The sequence below is a fragment of the Homo sapiens genome, chromosome 11, assembly GCF_000001405.40.
Source record: "Homo sapiens chromosome 11, GRCh38.p14 Primary Assembly".
NCBI lineage: Eukaryota > Metazoa > Chordata > Mammalia > Primates > Hominidae > Homo > Homo sapiens.
This window is the reverse complement of record NC_000011.10, coordinates 62513912-62538973: the sequence shown is the minus strand read 5'-3', so window position 1 is coordinate 62538973 and position 25062 is coordinate 62513912. Positions and strand designations below refer to the sequence as shown.

Here is a 25062-nt window from a genome sequence, read left to right as displayed (position 1 = left end):
TCGGGGGCTGGGGTCTGTGTTTCTCTTTCATCCGTGTTGTGATCTGCCTGAGATAGGAACTGCTAAGTGCCCACGAATTCCCAAGAGACATAGTCTCATCCTCAGAGGTCACCTGTAGCACCTTCAAGACCCCATGTATATTTCATTTCCCCTAGAAGGCTCCCAAGCCTTCTGGAATATTCTGCGGCAAAATCGGTCACAGCTAGTGCACTTTGCTCATCATATGTATCTGTGACAGGAACTGAGTCTTAAATCTCCCTGTCTGGCACATGGGTGCGTGAGTGATGTGAGGTCACCGTCTAACGCAGCGTGTAATTAGGTGCTGGGCCCAGCTGTGTCCATCCCTGGCTGGTTCCGTCTGTAGTGCAAAGTATAGTGTTGGGCATATGGAGGCAGCCGGTATACATGCATTGATTGACTGTTGATACTTTCCGGATGTAAACGGCTGTAGGCGGGGCTTTGGCTTAGGTTCCCCATGACTTATAGTGTCCCCCACACCATTTCAATTGGTGGCTGCTGCCGCCATTTTGTGCTGTGGCTGTAGTCCGTGGCCCTATGCAGAGTCCTGCCTGGTGTCTTTCTAGGGCACCTGCAGATGACAGCTCACCTTGTGGCTGGAGGGCGAATTTATTACTAAATGCTTGCACCTATAAGGGCCTGGCTCAGGGCCTGGTGTGGCAGCCGGGAGGCCTGAACTCACTGTGGGCCAAGGTGGGCTCAGCTGGGCTCTAACCTCTGGGGCTTGGGCGGTGCCTGGTGGGGCCGGGGCCTCCTTTGTTCAGGCAGCTGCCTGTGGCAGGGCTCCCAGAGCTGCCAGCTGGTGAGGCACCCCCCTGGTCCTGGGTACTGGGTGAGACTGGGTGGCCCAAGTCTCTGTCTCTGAGGGAGGTGGAACACTGACATTCCTGCTTGGAGGCAGACTCTGAGGAGGCTCCCACCTGTTACAAGCAGCAGACCTGGGGTGGAGTAGGCAAAAGACTTACAGACTCGGTCGGCCGGGTGCGGTGGTCACGCCCGTAATCCCAGCACTTTGGGAGGCCAAGGCGGGTGGATCACAGGGTCAGGAGTTCAAGACAAGCCTGGCTAAGATGGTGAAACCCCATCTCTACTAAAAATACAAAAAATTAGCCGGGCATGGTGGCGGGCGCCTGTAATCCCAGCTACTCGGGAGGCTGAGGCAGGAGAATTGCTTGAACCTGGGAGGGGGAGGTTGCAGTGAGCTGAGATCGTGCCATTGCACACCAGCCTGGGCTACAAAGTGAGATTCCGTCTCAAAAAAAAAAAAAAGGAGTTACAGACTCGGGTCCAAGCCCAGCATAGTTGTGCTCTCATGTGTACCCCGGGTAAGCTGTTCTCTCAGAGACTCAGTCTCTGTCTGTGAAATTGGCACAGTAACATCTCCCTCTTGAAGCTGTGGTTGAGAATGTGGGTAGATGCTGGGCGTGGTGGCTCCTGCTTATAGTCCCAGCACTTTGGGATTGTTTGAGCCCAGGAGTTCCGGACCAGCCTGGGCAACATGGCAAAACCCCATCTCTCCAAAAATACAAAAATTAGCCAGTTGTGGAGGCACGTGGCTGTGGTCCGAGCTACTTGGGTGGGTGAGGCAGGAGGATCACTTGAGCCCAGGAGGTCGAGGCTGCAGTGAGTCGTGATTGCGCCCCTGCACTCCAGCCTGTGTGACAGAGCCAGACCCTGTCTCAAAAAAATAAAAAGAGGCCAGGTGCGGTGGCTCACGCCTGTAATCCCAGCACTTTGGGAGGCCGAGGCGGGCGGATCATGCGGTCAGGAGATCGAGATCATCCTGGCTAACACAGTGAAACCCCATCTCTACTAAAAATACAAAAAATTAGCCGGGTGTGGTGCATGGTGGCGGGCGCCTGTAGTCCCAGCTACTCGGGAGGCTGAGGCAGGAGACTGGCGTGAACCCGGGAGGTGGAGCTTGCAGCGAGCCGAGATCCGCTATTGCACTCCAGCCTGGGCAACAGAACGAGACTCTGTCTCAAAAAAAAAAAAATAAATAAAATAAATAAAATACATAAATAAAAAGAATGTGGCAAGAGTGTGCATGTGAAGCGGCTCCTGCCGGCCAGTGCTCTATTTTTTCTCCTTTATTGCCTCCATTTTCACAGATGAGGAAATGGAGGTTCAGAAAACTGAAGTGTCTTGGCCAGGGTCCCACAGCTAGAAGGAGGCAGAGCCAGGATCTGACTGCAAGTCTGGCTCCTCTGAAGCCCCTTTCTGCTATGCCGGGCTGGAGAGTCATGGACGAGTGGAATTGACGGCGGTGGTGGGGGTCGGGTTCTGAGCTGGCCTGGGTAGCAGAGGACCTGGCTATCCCTTGGGTAGAGACTTGGAGCAAGCAGACTGCCGACCGGAGTGCGAGCATCATCGTGAACTTTTCCCTAGGTTGTGACCGAGATTCCCGACGAGAGAGACTGAGGGGAAGAGAGGAAGGAGGGGCGGGCTCCTGGCAAGGCATTCGCTCCTGAGCGGAATCCTGCAAAGGTCAGTAGGTGGGAGAGGCAGAGAGAGGCGGAGGTGACGGGATGTGGGGAGGGTGGGCCCTGTGTGGATGGGAGGCTGGGGCCGTGGGGGACAGGGATGAAGGGCCAGCTACCTCCGGGTCCAGTTGCCTCTGCTGTCTCCTTTCCATCTTCTTTGCTGTGCCTTGGGAGAACTTCCACAGTGGAAGGACGTGAGACGAATTACCCCACCCCCAACACCTCACCTGGCAGGTGAGCCAGCTGCAGGGGCAGGTGCATTGCTGAGGGCCCCACTCCCTGGAGTTCACAGCGCCAGAGATTGCTAGCTTTCCCATGCCCTCATGTCCTCCCACCCCCACTGACCCCAGTTCCATTTCCTCACCTCATTCCAGATGGAGAAGGAGGAGACAACCCGGGAGCTGCTGCTGCCCAACTGGCAGGGTAGTGGCTCCCACGGGCTGACCATCGCCCAGAGGGACGACGGCGTCTTTGTGCAGGAGGTGACGCAGAACTCCCCTGCGGCCCGCACTGGGGTGGTCAAGGAGGGTGAGTCACCCCAGGGTGTGGACTGGGTGCTGGTGGTTGGGGGGTCGGTGGGGGTGTTGGAGGGAAGGGCAGGGAGCAGGCAGAAGTGGGTGAGTGGCTGTCGAGGGCCCATTCCCAGTGGCATCAGGGTGGTTGGTACCCAAGCCCTGCCCTCCCTTGGCCACTCTGTGTCTGTCACTTGTGGTCCTCAGGGGAGGCAGCTGTGTGGGGTAGTGGACACCTGGTCCTCAGATCTGACTCCACCACCCACTAGCTCTGCAGATTTGGGCAAATGAGTTGGCCTTTTTTTTTTTTTTTAGATGGAGTTTTGTTCTTGTTGCCCAGGCTGGAGTGCAATGGCGCTATCTCAGCTCACTGCAACCTCCGCCTCCTGGGTTCAAGCGATTCTTATGCCTCAGCTTCCAGGGTAGCTGGGATTACAGGCATGCACCACCACACCAGACTAATTTTGCATTTTTAGTAGAGACGGGGTTTTTCTATGTTGGTCAGGCTGGTCTCGAACTCCTGACCTCAGGCGATCCACCTGCCTCGGTCTCCCAAAGTGCTGAGATTACAGGTGTGAGCCACTGCACCTGGCCCCCACAAATTGGCCTTTCTAAGCCTCAGTTTCCGTGTCTGTACAATGGGTATTACCATGCCCACCTTGCAGGGTGGTCATGAGTTCAAGTCAGTTCAGTGCCCAGTGTGTGGTGGCTGTGTGCGGTTTCCCTGAGGCTCTTTGGGCCTTACCTGCTTCCTGCTCTTCCCTGCTCAGGGGACCAGATTGTGGGTGCCACCATCTACTTTGACAACCTGCAGTCGGGTGAGGTGACCCAGCTGCTGAACACCATGGGGCACCACACGGTGGGCCTGAAGCTGCACCGCAAGGGGGACCGCTCTCCCGAGCCTGGCCAGACCTGGACCCGTGAAGTCTTCAGCTCCTGCAGCTCTGAAGTGGTTCTGGTGAGTACCTCGCCGGCCCATCTGTGCCCTGAGCTCCCCCGGCCATGCCGGCCTGCTGACCCCACTCCTGAGCCTTCCATGTGCCTCCGGACCCTCTCTTTTTGCTCCTTCTTCTCCTCTCACCTGTCTTCACTCTCTTGAGCCCTTGGCCACCCTGTTTCTTTCCGCTTTCGTGTGACATGTGGCTGTGCTCCCTCTAAATGTCTTCAATCAGTCTCTTCAGAGCGGCCACAGTATGGGAACTGACTTGTGCAGCCCGGCCCTAGATGCTAGGAGGAAGGTCAGCTGCTTTGCAAGAATCTTTGAAATGACTTCACAGGTGCCCAGCTCCACCTCACAGACACCATTTTTCTCTCTGCAGAGGCCTGATACATTCTGTGGGTCAGACGCTGGGCAGCAAAGTGCCTGTGGGGACATTGGTCCTTCTGATGGCTTGTTTATTTAACAAATAATGGGTCCTCAAAGTGAGACTGTTAACCCAAGCACAACCAGTCTCTTAGGCTCAACGAGTGCTTTCAGGGTCCAAGGGCCTCTGAGAAGATTCCCCTCCTGATTAAACAAACAAGCCAGTGGCTTGAGAGTTGGGAGCTGAAGGGCCTGGTCTCTTGGGAGGTGTCCCTGGCACAGGCTGATTTGAATCTCTAACTGAATGGAAATCCTCCCAGTCCAAGAGTATACCTCCCACTCCCTCCCCACGGTTTTTGCTTAGCGGTATGACCTCCAGAGAATTTCTGATTTCCTCCTGTGATGTGGCTGTCAGCCCCTTTCTTCACTCCCCTGTGCTGTGCCCCAGGAGGCTCCATGGACCTCTGTTTTGGTCCCAGCTTCTCTGGGAAACAGGCAACGTGTTGTCGGCTGGGCTGTGGCCGGGCATCTGCTAACTCAGGCAGACTCTGCTGCAACCTCTGCCCGGCGTGTCTTTCTGCAGAGCGGGGATGATGAGGAGTACCAGCGCATCTACACCACGAAGATCAAGCCACGGCTGAAGTCGGAAGATGGAGTGGAAGGAGACCTCGGGGAGACCCAGAGCCGTACCATCACAGTGACCAGAAGGGTCACGGCCTACACTGTGGATGTGACTGGCCGGGAAGGAGCCAAGGACATAGACATCAGTAGCCCTGAATTCAAGATCAAGATTCCAAGACATGAACTGACTGAAATCTCCAATGTGGATGTGGAGACCCAGTCTGGGAAGACCGTGATCAGACTGCCCTCGGGCTCGGGGGCAGCCTCTCCGACAGGCTCTGCTGTGGATATCCGAGCAGGGGCCATTTCTGCTTCAGGACCAGAGCTCCAAGGTGCTGGCCACTCGAAGCTCCAGGTCACCATGCCTGGGATAAAGGTGGGAGGCTCAGGTGTCAATGTCAATGCAAAGGGCTTGGACTTGGGTGGCAGAGGAGGGGTCCAAGTTCCAGCAGTGGACATTTCATCTTCTCTTGGGGGTAGGGCAGTAGAGGTACAGGGCCCATCTCTGGAGAGTGGTGATCATGGCAAAATTAAATTTCCCACCATGAAAGTGCCGAAATTTGGTGTCTCAACAGGGCGTGAGGGCCAGACACCAAAGGCAGGGCTGAGGGTTTCTGCACCTGAAGTCTCTGTGGGGCACAAGGGCGGCAAGCCAGGCTTGACTATCCAAGCCCCTCAGCTGGAAGTCAGTGTGCCCTCTGCCAATATTGAGGGCCTTGAGGGGAAGCTGAAGGGCCCCCAAATCACTGGGCCATCACTTGAGGGTGACCTAGGCCTGAAAGGTGCCAAGCCACAGGGGCACATTGGGGTGGATGCCTCTGCTCCCCAAATTGGGGGTAGCATCACTGGCCCCAGTGTGGAAGTTCAGGCCCCTGACATTGATGTTCAGGGGCCTGGGAGCAAACTGAATGTGCCCAAGATGAAAGTCCCCAAGTTCTCTGTATCAGGTGCAAAGGGAGAGGAAACTGGGATTGATGTGACACTGCCTACAGGTGAAGTGACTGTTCCTGGGGTCTCTGGGGATGTCAGCCTGCCTGAGATTGCTACTGGTGGGCTGGAAGGAAAGATGAAAGGTACTAAAGTGAAGACTCCTGAAATGATTATTCAGAAACCTAAAATCTCCATGCAGGATGTGGATCTGAGCCTTGGGTCTCCTAAACTGAAAGGAGATATTAAGGTTTCTGCTCCTGGGGTGCAAGGTGATGTTAAAGGCCCTCAAGTGGCACTTAAAGGCTCCAGAGTGGACATAGAGACACCAAACCTAGAGGGAACCTTGACAGGCCCTAGGCTTGGCAGTCCTTCCGGGAAAACCGGAACCTGTAGGATCTCTATGTCAGAAGTAGACTTAAATGTGGCCGCACCTAAAGTGAAAGGGGGTGTAGATGTCACACTCCCCAGAGTAGAAGGGAAAGTCAAAGTCCCTGAAGTTGATGTCAGAGGCCCCAAAGTGGATGTCAGTGCCCCAGATGTCGAAGCGCATGGCCCAGAATGGAACCTGAAAATGCCCAAGATGAAAATGCCCACGTTCAGCACTCCAGGAGCCAAAGGGGAAGGTCCAGATGTTCATATGACTCTACCCAAAGGAGATATCAGTATTTCAGGGCCCAAGGTCAATGTGGAAGCCCCAGATGTCAACTTGGAGGGTCTGGGGGGAAAACTTAAAGGCCCCGATGTTAAGCTGCCTGATATGAGTGTCAAGACACCAAAGATCTCCATGCCTGATGTAGATTTGCACGTGAAAGGTACAAAGGTGAAGGGAGAGTATGATGTAACTGTACCAAAGCTGGAAGGAGAACTCAAAGGCCCAAAAGTGGACATTGATGCCCCAGATGTGGATGTTCATGGCCCAGACTGGCACTTGAAGATGCCCAAGATGAAAATGCCCAAATTCAGTGTGCCAGGGTTCAAAGCAGAGGGCCCAGAAGTGGATGTGAACCTGCCCAAGGCTGATGTGGACATTTCCGGGCCCAAGATAGATGTTACTGCTCCTGATGTGAGCATTGAGGAACCAGAAGGGAAATTGAAAGGGCCCAAGTTTAAGATGCCTGAGATGAACATCAAAGTCCCCAAGATCTCCATGCCTGATGTGGACTTACATCTGAAAGGCCCTAACGTAAAGGGAGAATATGATGTCACAATGCCAAAGGTTGAAAGTGAGATTAAAGTTCCTGATGTTGAACTTAAAAGTGCCAAAATGGACATTGATGTCCCAGATGTGGAGGTTCAAGGCCCAGACTGGCACCTGAAGATGCCCAAGATGAAAATGCCCAAGTTCAGCATGCCTGGCTTCAAAGCAGAGGGCCCAGAAGTGGATGTGAACCTGCCCAAGGCTGATGTGGACATCTCAGGACCCAAGGTGGGTGTTGAAGTTCCAGATGTGAATATTGAAGGACCTGAAGGAAAGCTGAAGGGCCCCAAGTTCAAGATGCCAGAGATGAATATCAAGGCCCCCAAGATCTCCATGCCTGATGTGGACTTGCATATGAAAGGTCCTAAAGTAAAGGGAGAATATGATATGACAGTGCCAAAGCTGGAAGGGGACCTGAAAGGCCCAAAAGTAGATGTCAGTGCCCCAGATGTTGAAATGCAGGGTCCTGACTGGAACTTGAAGATGCCAAAGATTAAAATGCCCAAATTTAGCATGCCCAGCCTCAAAGGAGAGGGGCCAGAATTTGATGTGAACCTGTCCAAAGCGAATGTGGACATTTCTGCACCAAAAGTAGATACTAATGCTCCAGATCTGAGCCTTGAAGGACCTGAAGGGAAGTTGAAAGGCCCGAAGTTTAAGATGCCTGAGATGCACTTCAGAGCTCCTAAGATGTCTTTGCCAGATGTTGACCTGGATCTTAAAGGACCCAAAATGAAAGGAAATGTAGATATCTCTGCACCAAAGATAGAGGGTGAAATGCAGGTTCCAGATGTGGACATCAGAGGTCCCAAGGTAGATATTAAAGCACCAGATGTGGAAGGCCAAGGCCTGGACTGGAGCCTGAAAATACCCAAGATGAAAATGCCCAAGTTCAGCATGCCCAGCCTCAAAGGCGAGGGCCCAGAAGTGGATGTGAACTTGCCTAAGGCTGACGTTGTTGTCTCAGGACCCAAGGTGGACATCGAAGCCCCAGATGTGAGCCTCGAAGGTCCAGAAGGGAAGCTGAAGGGTCCCAAGTTTAAGATGCCTGAGATGCATTTCAAGACCCCCAAGATCTCCATGCCTGATGTGGACTTACACTTGAAAGGCCCCAAAGTCAAAGGGGATGTGGATGTGTCTGTGCCCAAGGTAGAAGGTGAAATGAAAGTGCCAGATGTTGAAATCAAAGGACCCAAAATGGACATTGATGCCCCAGATGTGGAGGTTCAAGGCCCAGACTGGCACCTGAAGATGCCCAAGATGAAAATGCCCAAGTTTAGCATGCCTGGCTTCAAAGGAGAGGGCCGAGAAGTGGATGTGAACCTGCCCAAGGCTGACATTGATGTCTCAGGACCCAAGGTGGATGTTGAAGTCCCAGATGTGAGCCTTGAGGGCCCGGAAGGAAAGCTGAAGGGCCCCAAGTTTAAGATGCCTGAGATGCACTTCAAGGCCCCCAAGATCTCCATGCCTGATGTGGACCTGAATCTTAAGGGGCCAAAATTGAAGGGAGATGTGGATGTGTCCTTGCCTGAGGTAGAAGGTGAAATGAAAGTGCCAGATGTTGACATTAAAGGGCCCAAAGTTGACATTAGTGCTCCAGATGTGGATGTTCATGGCCCAGATTGGCACCTGAAGATGCCCAAGGTGAAAATGCCCAAGTTCAGCATGCCCGGCTTCAAAGGAGAGGGCCCTGAAGTGGATGTGAAGCTGCCCAAAGCTGACGTTGATGTCTCAGGACCCAAAATGGATGCTGAAGTTCCAGATGTGAATATTGAAGGTCCAGACGCAAAACTAAAAGGTCCCAAATTCAAGATGCCAGAAATGAGTATAAAGCCTCAGAAGATATCCATACCAGATGTTGGTTTGCATTTGAAAGGTCCTAAAATGAAAGGAGATTATGATGTAACAGTTCCAAAAGTAGAAGGAGAGATAAAAGCTCCTGATGTTGACATCAAAGGCCCCAAAGTTGATATTAATGCACCAGATGTGGAGGTTCATGGCCCAGACTGGCACCTGAAGATGCCCAAGGTAAAAATGCCCAAGTTCAGCATGCCTGGCTTTAAAGGAGAGGGCCCAGAGGTGGATATGAACCTGCCCAAGGCTGACCTTGGTGTTTCAGGACCCAAGGTGGACATTGATGTTCCAGATGTGAATCTTGAAGCTCCAGAGGGGAAACTAAAAGGCCCTAAGTTCAAGATGCCAAGCATGAATATACAGACGCACAAAATCTCTATGCCTGATGTTGGACTTAATTTGAAAGCCCCTAAACTGAAAACTGATGTAGATGTTTCCCTTCCCAAAGTGGAAGGAGACTTGAAGGGTCCTGAAATTGATGTGAAAGCCCCTAAGATGGATGTGAATGTTGGTGATATTGATATTGAAGGTCCAGAAGGGAAGTTGAAGGGCCCCAAGTTTAAGATGCCTGAGATGCATTTCAAGGCCCCCAAGATCTCCATGCCCGATGTGGACTTACACTTGAAAGGCCCCAAAGTCAAAGGGGATATGGATGTGTCTGTGCCCAAGGTAGAAGGTGAAATGAAAGTGCCAGATGTTGACATTAAAGGGCCCAAAGTGGACATTGATGCCCCAGATGTGGAGGTTCACGACCCAGATTGGCACCTGAAAATGCCCAAGATGAAAATGCCCAAGTTCAGTATGCCTGGCTTCAAAGCAGAGGGCCCTGAAGTGGATGTGAATCTGCCAAAGGCTGACATTGATGTGTCTGGACCCAGTGTGGACACTGATGCTCCTGATTTGGATATTGAGGGACCAGAAGGAAAGTTGAAAGGCTCCAAATTTAAGATGCCCAAGTTGAATATAAAAGCTCCCAAGGTCTCCATGCCAGATGTGGACTTGAATTTGAAGGGACCCAAACTGAAGGGAGAGATAGATGCTTCTGTGCCAGAACTGGAAGGTGATCTCAGAGGGCCGCAAGTTGATGTCAAAGGTCCTTTTGTGGAAGCGGAGGTGCCCGATGTTGATCTGGAGTGTCCTGATGCAAAGTTGAAAGGGCCCAAGTTTAAGATGCCTGAGATGCACTTCAAGGCCCCCAAGATCTCCATGCCTGATGTGGACTTACACCTGAAAGGCCCCAAAGTCAAAGGGGATGCGGATGTGTCGGTGCCAAAATTGGAGGGAGATTTAACAGGCCCCAGTGTGGGTGTGGAGGTGCCTGATGTTGAGCTGGAGTGTCCTGATGCAAAGTTGAAAGGCCCTAAATTTAAGATGCCAGACATGCACTTCAAGGCCCCCAAGATCTCCATGCCTGATGTGGACTTACACTTGAAAGGCCCCAAAGTCAAAGGGGATGTGGATGTGTCGGTGCCAAAATTGGAGGGAGATTTAACAGGTCCCAGTGTGGGTGTGGAGGTGCCTGATGTTGAGCTGGAGTGTCCTGATGCAAAGTTGAAAGGGCCCAAGTTTAAGATGCCTGAGATGCACTTCAAGACCCCCAAGATCTCCATGCCTGATGTGGACTTACACCTGAAAGGCCCCAAAGTCAAAGGGGATATGGATGTGTCTGTGCCCAAGGTAGAAGGTGAAATGAAAGTGCCAGATGTTGACATCAAAGGACCCAAAATGGACATTGATGCCCCAGATGTGGATGTTCATGGCCCAGACTGGCACCTGAAGATGCCCAAGATGAAAATGCCCAAGTTCAGCATGCCTGGCTTCAAAGCAGAGGGCCCAGAAGTGGATGTGAACTTGCCCAAGGCTGATGTTGTTGTCTCAGGACCCAAGGTGGATGTTGAAGTCCCAGATGTGAGCCTTGAAGGTCCAGAAGGGAAGCTGAAGGGCCCCAAGCTTAAGATGCCTGAGATGCACTTCAAGGCCCCCAAGATCTCCATGCCTGATGTGGACTTACACTTGAAAGGCCCCAAAGTCAAAGGGGATGTGGATGTGTCTTTGCCAAAATTGGAGGGAGATTTAACAGGCCCCAGTGTGGATGTGGAGGTGCCTGATGTTGAGCTGGAGTGTCCTGATGCAAAGTTGAAAGGGCCCAAGTTTAAGATGCCTGAGATGCACTTCAAGACCCCCAAGATCTCCATGCCTGATGTGAACTTAAACTTGAAAGGCCCCAAAGTCAAAGGGGATATGGATGTGTCTGTTCCCAAGGTAGAAGGTGAAATGAAAGTGCCAGATGTTGACATCAGAGGGCCCAAAGTGGACATTGATGCCCCAGATGTGGATGTTCATGGCCCAGACTGGCACCTGAAGATGCCTAAGATGAAAATGCCCAAGTTCAGCATGCCTGGCTTCAAAGGAGAGGGCCCAGAAGTGGATGTGAACTTGCCCAAGGCTGACGTTGATGTCTCAGGACCCAAGGTGGATGTTGAAGTCCCAGATGTGAGCCTTGAAGGTCCAGAAGGGAAGCTGAAGGGCCCCAAGTTTAAGATGCCTGAGATGCACTTCAAGACCCCCAAGATCTCCATGCCTGATGTTGATTTCAATTTAAAGGGACCCAAAATCAAAGGAGATGTTGATGTTTCTGCCCCAAAGCTGGAGGGAGAGTTAAAAGGTCCAGAATTGGATGTCAAAGGTCCCAAATTAGATGCTGACATGCCAGAAGTAGCTGTGGAAGGCCCAAATGGCAAGTGGAAAACTCCTAAGTTCAAGATGCCAGATATGCACTTTAAAGCTCCCAAAATCTCTATGCCAGACCTCGATCTACACTTGAAGAGCCCCAAGGCAAAAGGAGAGGTGGATGTAGATGTTCCCAAATTGGAAGGGGACCTTAAAGGGCCACATGTGGATGTCAGTGGGCCAGACATTGACATTGAGGGACCAGAGGGCAAATTGAAAGGCCCTAAGTTCAAGATGCCTGATATGCATTTCAAAGCCCCCAATATTTCTATGCCTGATGTTGATCTAAATCTCAAAGGACCCAAAATCAAGGGGGATGTGGATGTGTCTGTGCCTGAGGTAGAAGGTAAACTTGAAGTACCAGATATGAACATCAGGGGCCCCAAAGTTGATGTAAATGCCCCCGATGTCCAAGCTCCAGACTGGCACCTGAAGATGCCCAAGATGAAAATGCCCAAGTTCAGCATGCCTGGCTTCAAAGCAGAGGGCCCTGAAGTAGACGTCAACTTGCCTAAGGCTGACGTTGACATCTCAGGACCCAAGGTGGACATTGAAGGCCCTGATGTTAATATTGAAGGACCAGAGGGAAAGTTGAAAGGGCCTAAGTTAAAGATGCCAGAGATGAACATCAAAGCCCCCAAGATCTCCATGCCTGACTTTGATTTGCATCTGAAAGGTCCCAAGGTGAAGGGCGATGTGGATGTTTCTCTGCCCAAAGTGGAAGGTGACCTCAAGGGCCCCGAAGTTGACATCAAGGGGCCCAAAGTGGATATTAATGCCCCAGATGTGGGTGTTCAAGGCCCAGACTGGCACCTGAAGATGCCCAAGGTGAAAATGCCAAAGTTCAGCATGCCTGGCTTCAAAGGAGAGGGCCCAGATGGGGATGTGAAGCTGCCCAAGGCTGACATTGATGTCTCAGGACCCAAAGTGGACATTGAAGGCCCTGATGTTAACATTGAAGGACCAGAGGGAAAGTTGAAAGGGCCTAAGTTCAAGATGCCAGAGATGAATATCAAAGCCCCCAAGATCTCCATGCCTGATATTGACTTAAACCTGAAAGGACCCAAAGTGAAGGGTGATGTGGATGTTTCCCTTCCTAAAGTGGAAGGTGACCTCAAGGGCCCAGAAGTTGACATCAAGGGCCCAAAAGTGGACATTGACGCACCTGATGTTGATGTTCATGGCCCAGACTGGCACCTAAAGATGCCCAAGATAAAAATGCCCAAGATCAGCATGCCTGGCTTCAAAGGAGAAGGTCCAGATGTGGACGTGAACCTGCCCAAGGCTGACATTGATGTCTCAGGACCGAAAGTGGATGTTGAATGTCCCGATGTGAATATCGAAGGACCTGAAGGAAAGTGGAAAAGTCCAAAGTTTAAGATGCCAGAGATGCATTTTAAGACTCCAAAGATATCCATGCCAGATATTGACCTGAATCTCACAGGTCCAAAAATAAAAGGAGATGTGGATGTTACAGGCCCTAAGGTAGAGGGAGATCTGAAAGGTCCTGAAGTTGACCTCAAAGGCCCCAAAGTGGACATTGATGTCCCAGATGTTAATGTTCAGGGTCCAGACTGGCACCTGAAGATGCCCAAGATGAAAATGCCCAAGTTCAGCATGCCTGGCTTCAAAGCAGAGGGCCCTGAAGTGGATGTGAACCTGCCCAAGGCTGACGTTGATGTCTCAGGCCCCAAAGTGGACGTTGAAGGCCCTGATGTTAACATTGAAGGACCAGAGGGAAAGTTGAAAGGGCCCAAGTTCAAGATGCCAGAGATGAATATCAAAGCCCCCAAGATCCCCATGCCTGACTTTGATTTGCATCTGAAAGGTCCCAAGGTGAAGGGCGATGTGGATATTTCTCTGCCCAAAGTGGAAGGTGACCTCAAGGGCCCTGAAGTTGACATCAGGGGTCCCCAAGTGGACATTGATGTCCCGGATGTGGGCGTTCAAGGCCCAGACTGGCACCTAAAAATGCCCAAAGTGAAAATGCCCAAATTCAGCATGCCTGGCTTCAAAGGAGAGGGCCCAGATGTGGATGTGAACCTGCCCAAGGCTGACCTTGATGTCTCAGGACCCAAGGTGGACATTGATGTTCCAGATGTGAATATCGAAGGCCCAGAGGGAAAGTTGAAAGGTCCCAAATTCAAAATGCCTGAGATGAACATCAAAGCCCCCAAGATCTCCATGCCTGACATTGATCTTAACCTGAAAGGTCCCAAAGTGAAGGGTGACATGGATGTGTCTCTGCCAAAAGTGGAAGGTGACATGAAAGTTCCTGACGTGGATATTAAAGGCCCCAAAGTGGATATTAATGCCCCAGATGTGGATGTTCAAGGCCCAGACTGGCACCTGAAGATGCCTAAAATAAAAATGCCCAAGATCAGCATGCCTGGCTTCAAAGGAGAAGGTCCAGAAGTGGACGTGAACCTGCCCAAGGCTGACCTTGACGTCTCAGGACCCAAGGTGGACGTTGATGTTCCAGATGTGAATATTGAAGGTCCAGATGCGAAACTGAAGGGCCCTAAATTCAAGATGCCAGAGATGAACATCAAAGCTCCTAAAATATCAATGCCTGATTTGGACCTCAATCTTAAAGGCCCTAAAATGAAAGGAGAGGTGGATGTTTCACTTGCAAATGTAGAAGGTGATTTGAAAGGACCTGCTCTTGACATAAAAGGCCCAAAGATAGATGTAGATGCTCCAGATATTGACATTCATGGCCCAGATGCCAAATTAAAAGGTCCAAAACTGAAGATGCCTGACATGCATGTAAACATGCCCAAGATCTCCATGCCAGAAATTGACTTGAATTTGAAAGGCTCAAAGCTTAAGGGAGATGTTGATGTCTCTGGGCCCAAGTTGGAAGGTGACATTAAAGCTCCCAGTTTGGATATAAAGGGCCCAGAAGTGGACGTTTCCGGTCCTAAGCTTAATATCGAAGGCAAGTCAAAGAAATCTCGTTTTAAGCTTCCCAAATTTAATTTTTCGGGCTCTAAAGTTCAGACACCTGAAGTGGATGTCAAAGGTAAAAAGCCAGATATTGACATAACAGGTCCAAAAGTTGATATTAATGCTCCTGATGTCGAGGTCCAAGGAAAAGTGAAAGGATCCAAGTTTAAAATGCCTTTCCTGAGTATTTCATCTCCCAAAGTTTCTATGCCTGACGTGGAGCTAAATTTGAAAAGTCCCAAAGTCAAAGGAGACTTAGATATTGCAGGTCCCAATTTAGAAGGTGACTTTAAAGGCCCCAAAGTGGATATTAAGGCACCAGAAGTCAATCTTAATGCACCTGATGTGGATGTTCATGGTCCAGACTGGAATCTGAAAATGCCCAAGATGAAAATGCCCAAATTCAGTGTGTCTGGCTTAAAAGCAGAAGGGCCAGATGTAGCTGTGGATCTACCAAAAGGAGACATCAACATAGAGGGCCCAAGTATGAACATTGAGGGCCCAGATCTCAATGTGGAAGGTCCGGAGGGAGGCTTGAAAGGTCCCAAATTCAAGATGCCTGACATGAATATCAAAGCTCCCAAGATCTCCATGCCTGACATTGACTTAAACTTGAAAGGCCCCAAGGTGAAAGGTGATGTGGATATTTCTCTTCCCAAACTTGAAGGGGATCTGAAAGGGCCAGAGGTTGATATCAAAGGCCCTAAAGTGGACATCAATGCCCCAGATGTGGATGTTCATGGTCCAGACTGGCATCTGAAGATGCCCAAAGTGAAAATGCCCAAGTTCAGCATGCCTGGCTTCAAAGGAGAAGGCCCTGAAGTCGATGTTACCCTCCCTAAAGCTGACATTGACATTTCTGGTCCCAATGTAGACGTTGATGTTCCAGACGTGAATATTGAAGGTCCAGATGCAAAGCTGAAGGGCCCCAAGTTCAAGATGCCTGAGATGAACATCAAAGCCCCCAAGATCTCCATGCCTGACTTTGACCTGAACTTGAAGGGACCCAAAATGAAGGGTGATGTGGTTGTGTCTTTGCCCAAAGTGGAAGGTGATCTAAAAGGCCCTGAGGTGGACATCAAGGGCCCCAAAGTGGACATTGACACTCCTGACATTAACATCGAAGGCTCAGAGGGTAAATTCAAGGGACCCAAATTTAAGATACCAGAGATGCACCTGAAGGCTCCCAAAATATCGATGCCTGACATTGATTTAAACCTGAAGGGCCCCAAAGTCAAGGGCGATGTGGATGTTTCTCTGCCCAAAATGGAAGGTGACCTCAAGGGTCCTGAAGTTGACATCAAGGGCCCCAAAGTGGACATTAATGCTCCAGATGTTGATGTTCAAGGCCCAGACTGGCACCTGAAGATGCCCAAGGTGAAAATGCCCAAGTTCAGCATGCCTGGCTTCAAAGGAGAGGGCCCAGATGTGGATGTGAACCTGCCCAAGGCTGACCTTGATGTCTCAGGACCCAAGGTGGACATTGATGTTCCAGATGTGAATATCGAAGGCCCAGAGGGAAAGTTGAAAGGTCCCAAATTCAAGATGCCTGAGATGAACATCAAAGCCCCCAAGATCTCCATGCCTGACATTGATCTTAACCTGAAAGGACCCAAAGTGAAGGGTGATATGGATGTGTCTCTGCCAAAAGTGGAAGGTGACATGCAAGTTCCTGACTTGGATATTAAAGGCCCCAAAGTGGATATTAATGCCCCAGATGTGGATGTTCGAGGCCCAGACTGGCACCTGAAGATGCCTAAGATAAAAATGCCCAAGATCAGCATGCCTGGCTTCAAAGGAGAAGGTCCAGAAGTGGATGTGAACCTGCCCAAGGCTGACCTTGACGTCTCAGGACCCAAGGTGGACGTTGATGTTCCAGATGTGAATATTGAAGGTCCAGATGCGAAACTGAAGGGCCCTAAATTCAAGATGCCAGAGATGAACATCAAAGCCCCCAAGATCTCCATGCCTGACTTTGATTTGCATCTGAAAGGCCCTAAGGTGAAAGGAGATGTGGATGTTTCTCTGCCTAAGATGGAAGGTGATCTAAAGGCCCCTGAAGTTGACATCAAGGGCCCCAAAGTGGACATTGATGCCCCAGATGTGGATGTTCATGGCCCAGACTGGCACCTGAAGATGCCCAAGGTGAAAATGCCCAAATTCAGCATGCCAGGATTTAAAGGAGAGGGCCCAGAAGTGGATGTTAATTTGCCCAAAGCTGACATTGATGTCTCAGGACCCAAAGTGGACATTGACACTCCTGATATTGATATTCATGGTCCAGAAGGGAAACTGAAGGGCCCCAAATTTAAAATGCCTGACCTGCACCTCAAGGCACCGAAGATCTCTATGCCTGAAGTTGACCTGAATCTGAAAGGTCCAAAGATGAAGGGCGACGTGGACGTTTCTCTGCCCAAAGTGGAAGGCGACCTCAAGGGCCCTGAAGTTGACATCAAGGGCCCCAAAGTGGACATTGATGTCCCAGATGTGGACGTTCAAGGCCCAGACTGGCACTTAAAAATGCCCAAAGTGAAAATGCCCAAGTTCAGCATGCCTGGCTTCAAAGGAGAGGGCCCAGATGTGGATGTGAACCTGCCCAAGGCTGACCTTGACGTCTCAGGACCCAAGGTGGACATTGATGTTCCTGATGTGAATATCGAAGGTCCAGATGCGAAACTAAAGGGCCCTAAATTCAAGATGCCTGAGATGAACATCAAAGCCCCCAAGATCTCCATGCCTGACTTTGATTTGCATCTGAAAGGTCCCAAGGTGAAGGGTGATGTGGATGTTTCCCTTCCTAAAGTGGAAGGTGACCTCAAGGGCCCAGAAGTTGACATCAAGGGCCCCAAAGTGGACATCGATGCCCCTGATGTAGATGTTCATGGCCCAGACTGGCACCTGAAGATGCCCAAGGTGAAAATGCCCAAATTCAGCATGCCAGGATTCAAAGGAGAGGGCCCAGATGTGGATGTTACCCTTCCTAAGGCTGACATTGAGATTTCTGGCCCCAAAGTGGACATTGATGCCCCTGATGTCAGTATCGAAGGTCCAGATGCAAAACTCAAGGGTCCAAAGTTCAAGATGCCAGAGATGAACATCAAGGCCCCCAAAATCTCCATGCCTGACATTGACTTTAACTTGAAGGGTCCCAAAGTGAAAGGTGATGTGGATGTCTCTCTGCCCAAAGTGGAAGGTGATCTCAAGGGCCCTGAAATTGACATAAAAGGCCCCAGTTTGGACATTGACACACCTGATGTCAATATTGAAGGTCCGGAAGGAAAATTGAAGGGGCCCAAATTTAAGATGCCTGAGATGAACATCAAAGCTCCCAAAATCTCTATGCCTGACTTTGATTTGCACCTGAAAGGTCCCAAGGTGAAGGGTGATGTGGATGTTTCACTACCTAAGGTGGAAAGTGATCTGAAAGGGCCAGAGGTAGACATTGAAGGTCCTGAAGGGAAGCTCAAAGGTCCCAAGTTTAAGATGCCTGATGTACATTTCAAAAGCCCACAAATCTCCATGAGTGACATTGATTTGAATTTGAAAGGACCTAAGATAAAAGGAGATATGGACATTTCCGTTCCTAAACTGGAGGGAGATCTGAAAGGTCCCAAAGTGGATGTCAAAGGCCCTAAAGTGGGCATTGACACTCCTGATATTGACATTCATGGTCCAGAAGGGAAACTGAAGGGCCCCAAATTTAAAATGCCTGACTTACACCTCAAGGCACCGAAGATCTCTATGCCTGAAGTTGACCTGAATCTGAAAGGTCCAAAGGTGAAGGGCGACATGGACATTTCTCTGCCCAAAGTGGAAGGCGACCTCAAGGGCCCCGAAGTTGACATCAGGGACCCCAAAGTGGACATTGATGTCCCAGATGTGGACGTTCAAGGCCCAGACTGGCACCTAAAAATGCCCAAAGTGAAAATGCCCAAGTTCAGCATGCCTGGCTTCAAAGGAGAGGGCCCAGATGTGGATGTGAACCTGCCCAAGGCTGACATTGATGTCTCAGGACCCAAAGTGGACGTTGATGTTCCTGATGTGAATATCGAAGGTCCAGATGCGAAACTAAAGGGCCCCAAGTTCAAGATGCCTGAGATGAGCATCAAAGCCCCCAAGATCTCCATGCCTGATATTGACTTAAACCTGAAAGGACCCAAAGTGAAGGGCGATGTGGATGTTACCCTTCCTAAAGTGGAAGGTGACCTCAAGGGCCCAGAAGCTGACATCAAGGGCCCAAAAGTGGACATCAACACCCCTGATGTGGATGTTCATGGCCCAGACTGGCACCTGAAGATGCCCAAGGTGAAAATGCCCAAATTCAGCATGCCTGGCTTCAAAGGAGAAGGTCCAGATGTGGATGTGAGCCTGCCCAAGGCCGACATCGATGTCTCGGGACCCAAGGTGGACGTTGATATTCCAGATGTGAATATCGAAGGTCCAGACGCAAAACTGAAGGGCCCCAAGTTCAAGATGCCTGAAATAAATATCAAAGCTCCCAAGATCTCCATACCTGATGTTGACCTGGATTTGAAAGGACCCAAAGTAAAAGGAGATTTTGATGTGTCTGTCCCTAAGGTTGAAGGGACTTTGAAAGGCCCAGAAGTAGATCTTAAAGGTCCACGTCTGGATTTCGAAGGCCCTGATGCCAAACTCAGTGGCCCATCTTTGAAGATGCCATCGCTGGAGATATCTGCTCCTAAAGTAACTGCTCCTGATGTTGATTTGCATCTCAAGGCACCAAAAATTGGATTTTCAGGTCCGAAGTTAGAAGGTGGTGAAGTGGACCTCAAGGGACCCAAAGTTGAAGCTCCAAGCTTAGATGTACACATGGACAGCCCAGATATTAACATCGAAGGGCCAGATGTTAAAATCCCCAAATTTAAGAAACCCAAGTTTGGATTTGGGGCAAAAAGCCCCAAAGCTGACATCAAGTCACCTTCACTGGATGTCACTGTTCCTGAGGCAGAGCTGAACCTTGAGACTCCTGAAATTAGTGTTGGTGGCAAGGGCAAGAAAAGTAAGTTTAAAATGCCTAAAATTCATATGAGTGGTCCTAAGATTAAGGCCAAAAAACAGGGATTTGACCTGAATGTTCCTGGGGGTGAAATTGATGCCAGCCTCAAGGCTCCGGATGTAGATGTCAACATCGCAGGGCCGGATGCTGCACTCAAAGTCGACGTGAAATCGCCCAAAACCAAGAAAACGATGTTTGGAAAAATGTACTTCCCAGATGTAGAGTTTGACATTAAATCACCTAAATTTAAAGCTGAGGCCCCTCTCCCTAGCCCCAAACTGGAGGGTGAACTCCAGGCACCTGATCTGGAACTTTCTTTGCCAGCGATTCACGTCGAAGGTCTTGACATCAAGGCGAAGGCTCCCAAGGTCAAGATGCCAGATGTGGACATCTCAGTGCCAAAAATAGAGGGTGACCTGAAAGGCCCCAAAGTGCAGGCAAACTTGGGTGCACCTGACATCAACATCGAAGGCCTAGATGCTAAAGTCAAAACACCGTCCTTCGGCATTTCTGCCCCTCAAGTCTCCATCCCTGATGTGAATGTAAACTTGAAAGGACCAAAGATAAAGGGTGATGTCCCCAGCGTGGGACTGGAAGGACCAGATGTAGATCTGCAAGGTCCAGAAGCAAAAATTAAGTTCCCCAAGTTTTCCATGCCCAAGATCGGCATCCCAGGTGTGAAAATGGAGGGTGGGGGAGCCGAGGTCCATGCCCAGCTACCCTCTCTTGAAGGAGACTTGAGAGGACCAGATGTTAAGCTCGAAGGGCCCGATGTTTCTCTAAAGGGGCCAGGAGTAGACTTGCCTTCAGTGAACCTCTCTATGCCAAAAGTCTCTGGGCCTGACCTTGATCTGAACTTGAAAGGACCAAGTTTGAAGGGAGACCTGGATGCATCTGTTCCCAGCATGAAGGTGCATGCTCCAGGGCTCAACCTCAGTGGTGTCGGTGGCAAAATGCAGGTGGGAGGAGACGGTGTGAAAGTGCCAGGGATCGATGCCACAACAAAGCTTAACGTTGGGGCACCAGATGTGACACTGAGGGGACCAAGCCTGCAGGGAGATCTGGCTGTCTCTGGTGACATCAAATGCCCTAAAGTATCCGTAGGAGCTCCTGATCTAAGCTTGGAGGCATCCGAAGGCAGCATTAAACTTCCCAAAATGAAGCTGCCCCAATTTGGCATCTCTACTCCGGGGTCCGACTTGCACGTCAATGCCAAGGGGCCACAGGTTTCTGGCGAACTGAAGGGGCCAGGTGTGGATGTGAACCTGAAAGGGCCTCGGATTTCAGCACCGAATGTGGACTTTAACTTGGAAGGACCAAAAGTGAAAGGGAGCCTTGGGGCCACTGGTGAGATCAAAGGCCCCACTGTCGGAGGAGGTCTTCCAGGCATTGGTGTTCAAGGCCTAGAAGGAAACCTCCAGATGCCTGGAATTAAGTCCTCTGGATGTGATGTGAACCTGCCAGGCGTGAATGTGAAACTCCCAACTGGGCAGATTTCTGGGCCTGAAATCAAAGGTGGTCTGAAAGGTTCAGAAGTAGGTTTCCATGGGGCTGCTCCTGATATCAGTGTGAAGGGGCCTGCCTTTAATATGGCATCTCCTGAGTCAGATTTTGGCATCAACTTGAAGGGCCCAAAAATCAAAGGAGGTGCGGATGTTTCAGGGGGTGTCAGTGCCCCAGACATCAGCCTTGGTGAAGGGCATTTGAGTGTTAAAGGTTCCGGGGGTGAGTGGAAGGGACCCCAAGTCTCCTCTGCTCTCAACTTGGACACATCTAAGTTTGCTGGGGGCCTTCATTTCTCAGGACCAAAGGTGGAAGGAGGTGTGAAAGGAGGTCAGATTGGACTCCAGGCTCCTGGGCTGAGTGTGTCTGGGCCTCAAGGTCACTTGGAAAGTGGATCTGGAAAAGTAACATTCCCTAAAATGAAGATCCCCAAATTTACCTTCTCTGGCCGTGAGCTGGTTGGCAGAGAAATGGGGGTGGATGTTCACTTCCCTAAAGCAGAGGCCAGCATCCAAGCTGGTGCTGGAGACGGCGAGTGGGAAGAGTCTGAAGTCAAACTGAAAAAGTCCAAGATCAAAATGCCCAAGTTTAATTTTTCCAAACCTAAAGGGAAAGGTGGTGTCACTGGCTCACCAGAAGCATCAATTTCTGGGTCCAAAGGTGACCTGAAAAGTTCAAAGGCCAGCCTGGGCTCTCTGGAAGGAGAGGCAGAGGCCGAAGCCTCTTCACCGAAAGGCAAATTCTCCTTATTTAAAAGTAAGAAGCCACGGCACCGCTCAAATTCATTCAGTGATGAAAGAGAGTTCTCTGGACCTTCCACCCCGACGGGGACGCTGGAGTTTGAAGGTGGGGAAGTGTCTCTGGAAGGTGGGAAAGTTAAAGGGAAACACGGGAAGCTGAAATTCGGTACCTTTGGTGGATTGGGGTCAAAGAGCAAAGGTCATTATGAGGTGACTGGGAGCGATGATGAGACAGGCAAGTTACAGGGGAGTGGGGTGTCCCTGGCCTCTAAGAAGTCCCGACTGTCCTCCTCTTCTAGCAATGACAGTGGGAATAAGGTTGGCATCCAGCTTCCCGAGGTGGAGCTGTCAGTTTCCACAAAGAAAGAGTAGCAGGCCTTTGTATGTGTGTACATATATATATATATAACAAAACATCAGCCTTGGGTGGTGTGTTCCTATATAAACTCCAAAGGGAAACACACCGACTGCCTCAGCAATCATGCAAAGACCTTGCCTGGCCCGGTGGCAAGCGCTGAAAAACCGACCGCCTGTAGGCTCCTGGAACTATACAGATAGGTAAAGAGTTCCAAGTTCGTCCAGCCCATGTGCAAAGTCAACAGTATTTGCCTTAAGATTTCATATATATATATTTTTTTGCATTGACTGCTGAGAGCTCCTGTTTACTAAGCAAGCTTTTGTGTTTATTATCCTCATTTTTACTGAACATTGTTAGTTTTGGGGTAATGGAAACCCACTTTTTCATTGTAATGACTTTGGGGGCTTTTGTTAGTAAGGGTGGGTGGGGTGATGGGTTGCAGACGGAGGTCAGGTCTTCCTCTTTCCTGAGACTGGATCTGTTCAAACAGCAAACGCCCACAGATGGCCCAGAGGTGGTGGTAGTCAGGGTGTGTGGGTGTTTTTAGGGTTCTTTAGTGTTGTTTCTTTCACCCAGGGGTGGTGGTCCCAGCCAGTTTGGTGCTGACGGTGAGAGGAAATTAGAATCTGTTTGCAAATTGTCCAACCCACCCCCTCAACATGAGGGGCTTCCATTTTCTGTGTTTTGTAAGGGAACTGTTTCCTTCATGCCGCCATGTTCCTGATATTAGTTCTGATTTCTTTTTAACAAATGTTATCATGATTAAGAAAATTTCCAGCACTTTAATGGCCAATTAACTGAGAATGTAAGAAAATTGATGCTGTACAAGGCAAATAAAGCTGTTTATTAACCTTGATGTCTTGTGCCTTTGCATTCTGTGTTGCGGGGGCGTGAAACCTGGGGAAGCTGCACAGCCAGCTGTGAGTGTTCAGACCGGATCCATCTGGTGGCATTGCTAGTTTCATCAGTGACTTTAAGACAGTGACCTTCGGGAGGTAGTGGGAGAAAATCTTTGCTTCTTGATTCTCATGGTGAGGCTGGTTGTGCCATTGCTGAGAAATCAAGAAGAGGCTTGGCCTCGGGACCCACTCACCTACTTTGCATCCTCACATATGAATATACAATTCAGAATTGGTTCTAAATGGGTTACAGATGTGAACAGTTAAAAGGCCTCCTGGAATTACCGAAAGGGCTCTGCTTGTGAATCACCGCTCTGCCATTTATTCCTGACATGGCTGCAGGTTTGCTGAGTAACCGCTGTTGCCCAGGCTGGAGTGCAGTGGCACAATCTTGGCTCACTGCAACCTCCTCCTCCTGGGTTCAAGCGATTTTCCTGCCTCAGCCTCCCGAGTAGCTGGGATTACAGGCCCTTGCCTCTACGCCTGGCTAATTTTTATATTTAGTAGAGACGAAGTTTCACCATGTTGGCCAGGCTGGTCTCAAACTCCTGACCTCCAGTGATCCACCCGCCTTGGCCTCCCAAAGTACTGGGATTACAGGCATGAGCCACTGCGCCCGGCCAGGGTGCTGATCTTGTGTAAGTTATCTCTGTGGTTCTTTCTAGTCCATTTTAGGGCTAAACATTATGGAAAAGTCTTCTGACCAAAGTCCCCTTTTGATTTCCAGCTCTGTTGACAGTATGTGGGGGTGGGGGAGGAGTGGTTCTAGTCACTGGCTCCTAATGTTGGTCATTGCTGGGCAGAGGGTGATGCTTTCTTATACTTGGACCAAGCTTGTCCCCCTCGCCATTCCTTAGAGATGCCCCATTTCTGCCAGTGGAGGCAGCTCTGCACCTCTCTGGATCCCCCCAGAACAGAGATAAAATAGCTCCCACCCCATCCTTCCCTGTTTAGTACCAGCTTGTCAGTGGGATCTCATGCCTTCCCTAGCTTCATCTGTCCTCACCGTGGCCAGCAGAGCCAGTGTTCTGGGGGTTTTGGAGCTCAAGGGTGGCCCATGGATTTGGAAAGAGATAGGTTGGGAGGGAGGCCCTTGATACCCGGCTGCGTTTTAGATGACCGACCTACAGCTTCTTTCGTGAGTTGGACAGGATGCTTAACCTGCTTGAGGCTCAGTTTCATCACCCTTAAAATTGGGATAGCAGCATTCATAGGGCCAGAGTTCGTCCAGGTATTGGGGTTATGCATTGCATGATGGCACCACACTGAAGTGTGCAGCATCCATGTGACAGCCAGATACATACTTATGGAGAGCACAAGAGTTGGCATGAAATCCTAGAGAGACAGGCATGAGCCCATCTTCTACAGAAACCCCCTGCTGCACTGGGCTACACGCACACTCCAGCCGTGAGCATGCTCAGGTTCAATGATGCACACAACTGCACACATCACCGTCTGTCCTAACTGGGCCTGGGGCTGTCCCCGGGGTGCTGCTTTCACTCAACCAACCACAGCTCAAAACCCATCTCCTGTTCCTTCCTCAACTCTGAAGCCAAGAGTGTGGGGCAGGTCAGAGTGTGCATGCCGCTTGAGATAAGTAGCCCTGGTGTCTGGAGGGTGGGGTAAGTGGGTGACGGTGGGGTGAGTGTGCGACAGTGGGGTGCACTTGTGTACACAGCTAGGGAGGAATGCCCATTAGGATGCTGGAAAGTCCTCTGAGGAGAACTACCCAGGCTGTCCAATAATATATCAATTAAATTTTTTTTTAACTTTAGGAAGAAGTGATGAAGGCTAGTGGTGGCCCCCAGTGTCCATTCAATAAATGTTTTCTGAGTCCCACGTGGCTAGATGTGTCCCAGTCCCACTGATCTCAGATTCCTCTTCTGAGGATCTCCACAGAGTGAATGATGTGATGGGTGTGAAAAACTGGAATGCCTTGAGCCCTGG

At 50.3% G+C, this 25062-nt stretch overlaps 1 protein-coding gene across 10 annotated transcripts in view, besides 1 other annotated feature; it reads left to right on the top strand.

The window, feature by feature from the left end:
• The window catches only part of AHNAK (AHNAK nucleoprotein), a 113263-nt gene that overhangs the window by 7833 nt on the left and 80368 nt on the right, over window positions 1-25062 (top strand). For 8 of the 10 annotated variants that reach the window (NM_001620.3, NM_001346445.2, XM_047427577.1 and 5 more), the window contains 4 exons: window positions 2407-2505; window positions 2876-3029; window positions 3784-3971; window positions 4900-23072. In NM_001620.3, the coding sequence (NP_001611.1) occupies window positions 2876-3029; window positions 3784-3971; window positions 4900-22230 (17673 nt within the window). In that variant the 5' untranslated portion in view covers window positions 2407-2505 and the 3' untranslated portion in view covers window positions 22231-23072. Of the gene's footprint in view, window positions 1-2406; window positions 2506-2875; window positions 3030-3783; window positions 3972-4899; window positions 23073-25062 lie in introns of those variants that run through there. The other 2 variants (XM_017018270.2, NM_024060.4) reach the window with 2 other exon arrangements.
• Window positions 2451-3650: an enhancer, noted in NCBI's record as "CDK7 strongly-dependent group 2 enhancer chr11:62302796-62303995 (GRCh37/hg19 assembly coordinates)". NCBI's record gives its function as "activates an origin of replication core promoter dependent on BRD2, BRD4, P300/CBP, MED14 and CDK7 cofactors, with strong dependence on CDK7, by STARR-seq in HCT116 cells {active_cell/tissue: HCT116}" and the evidence as "EXISTENCE:reporter gene assay evidence [ECO:0000049][PMID:35650434]".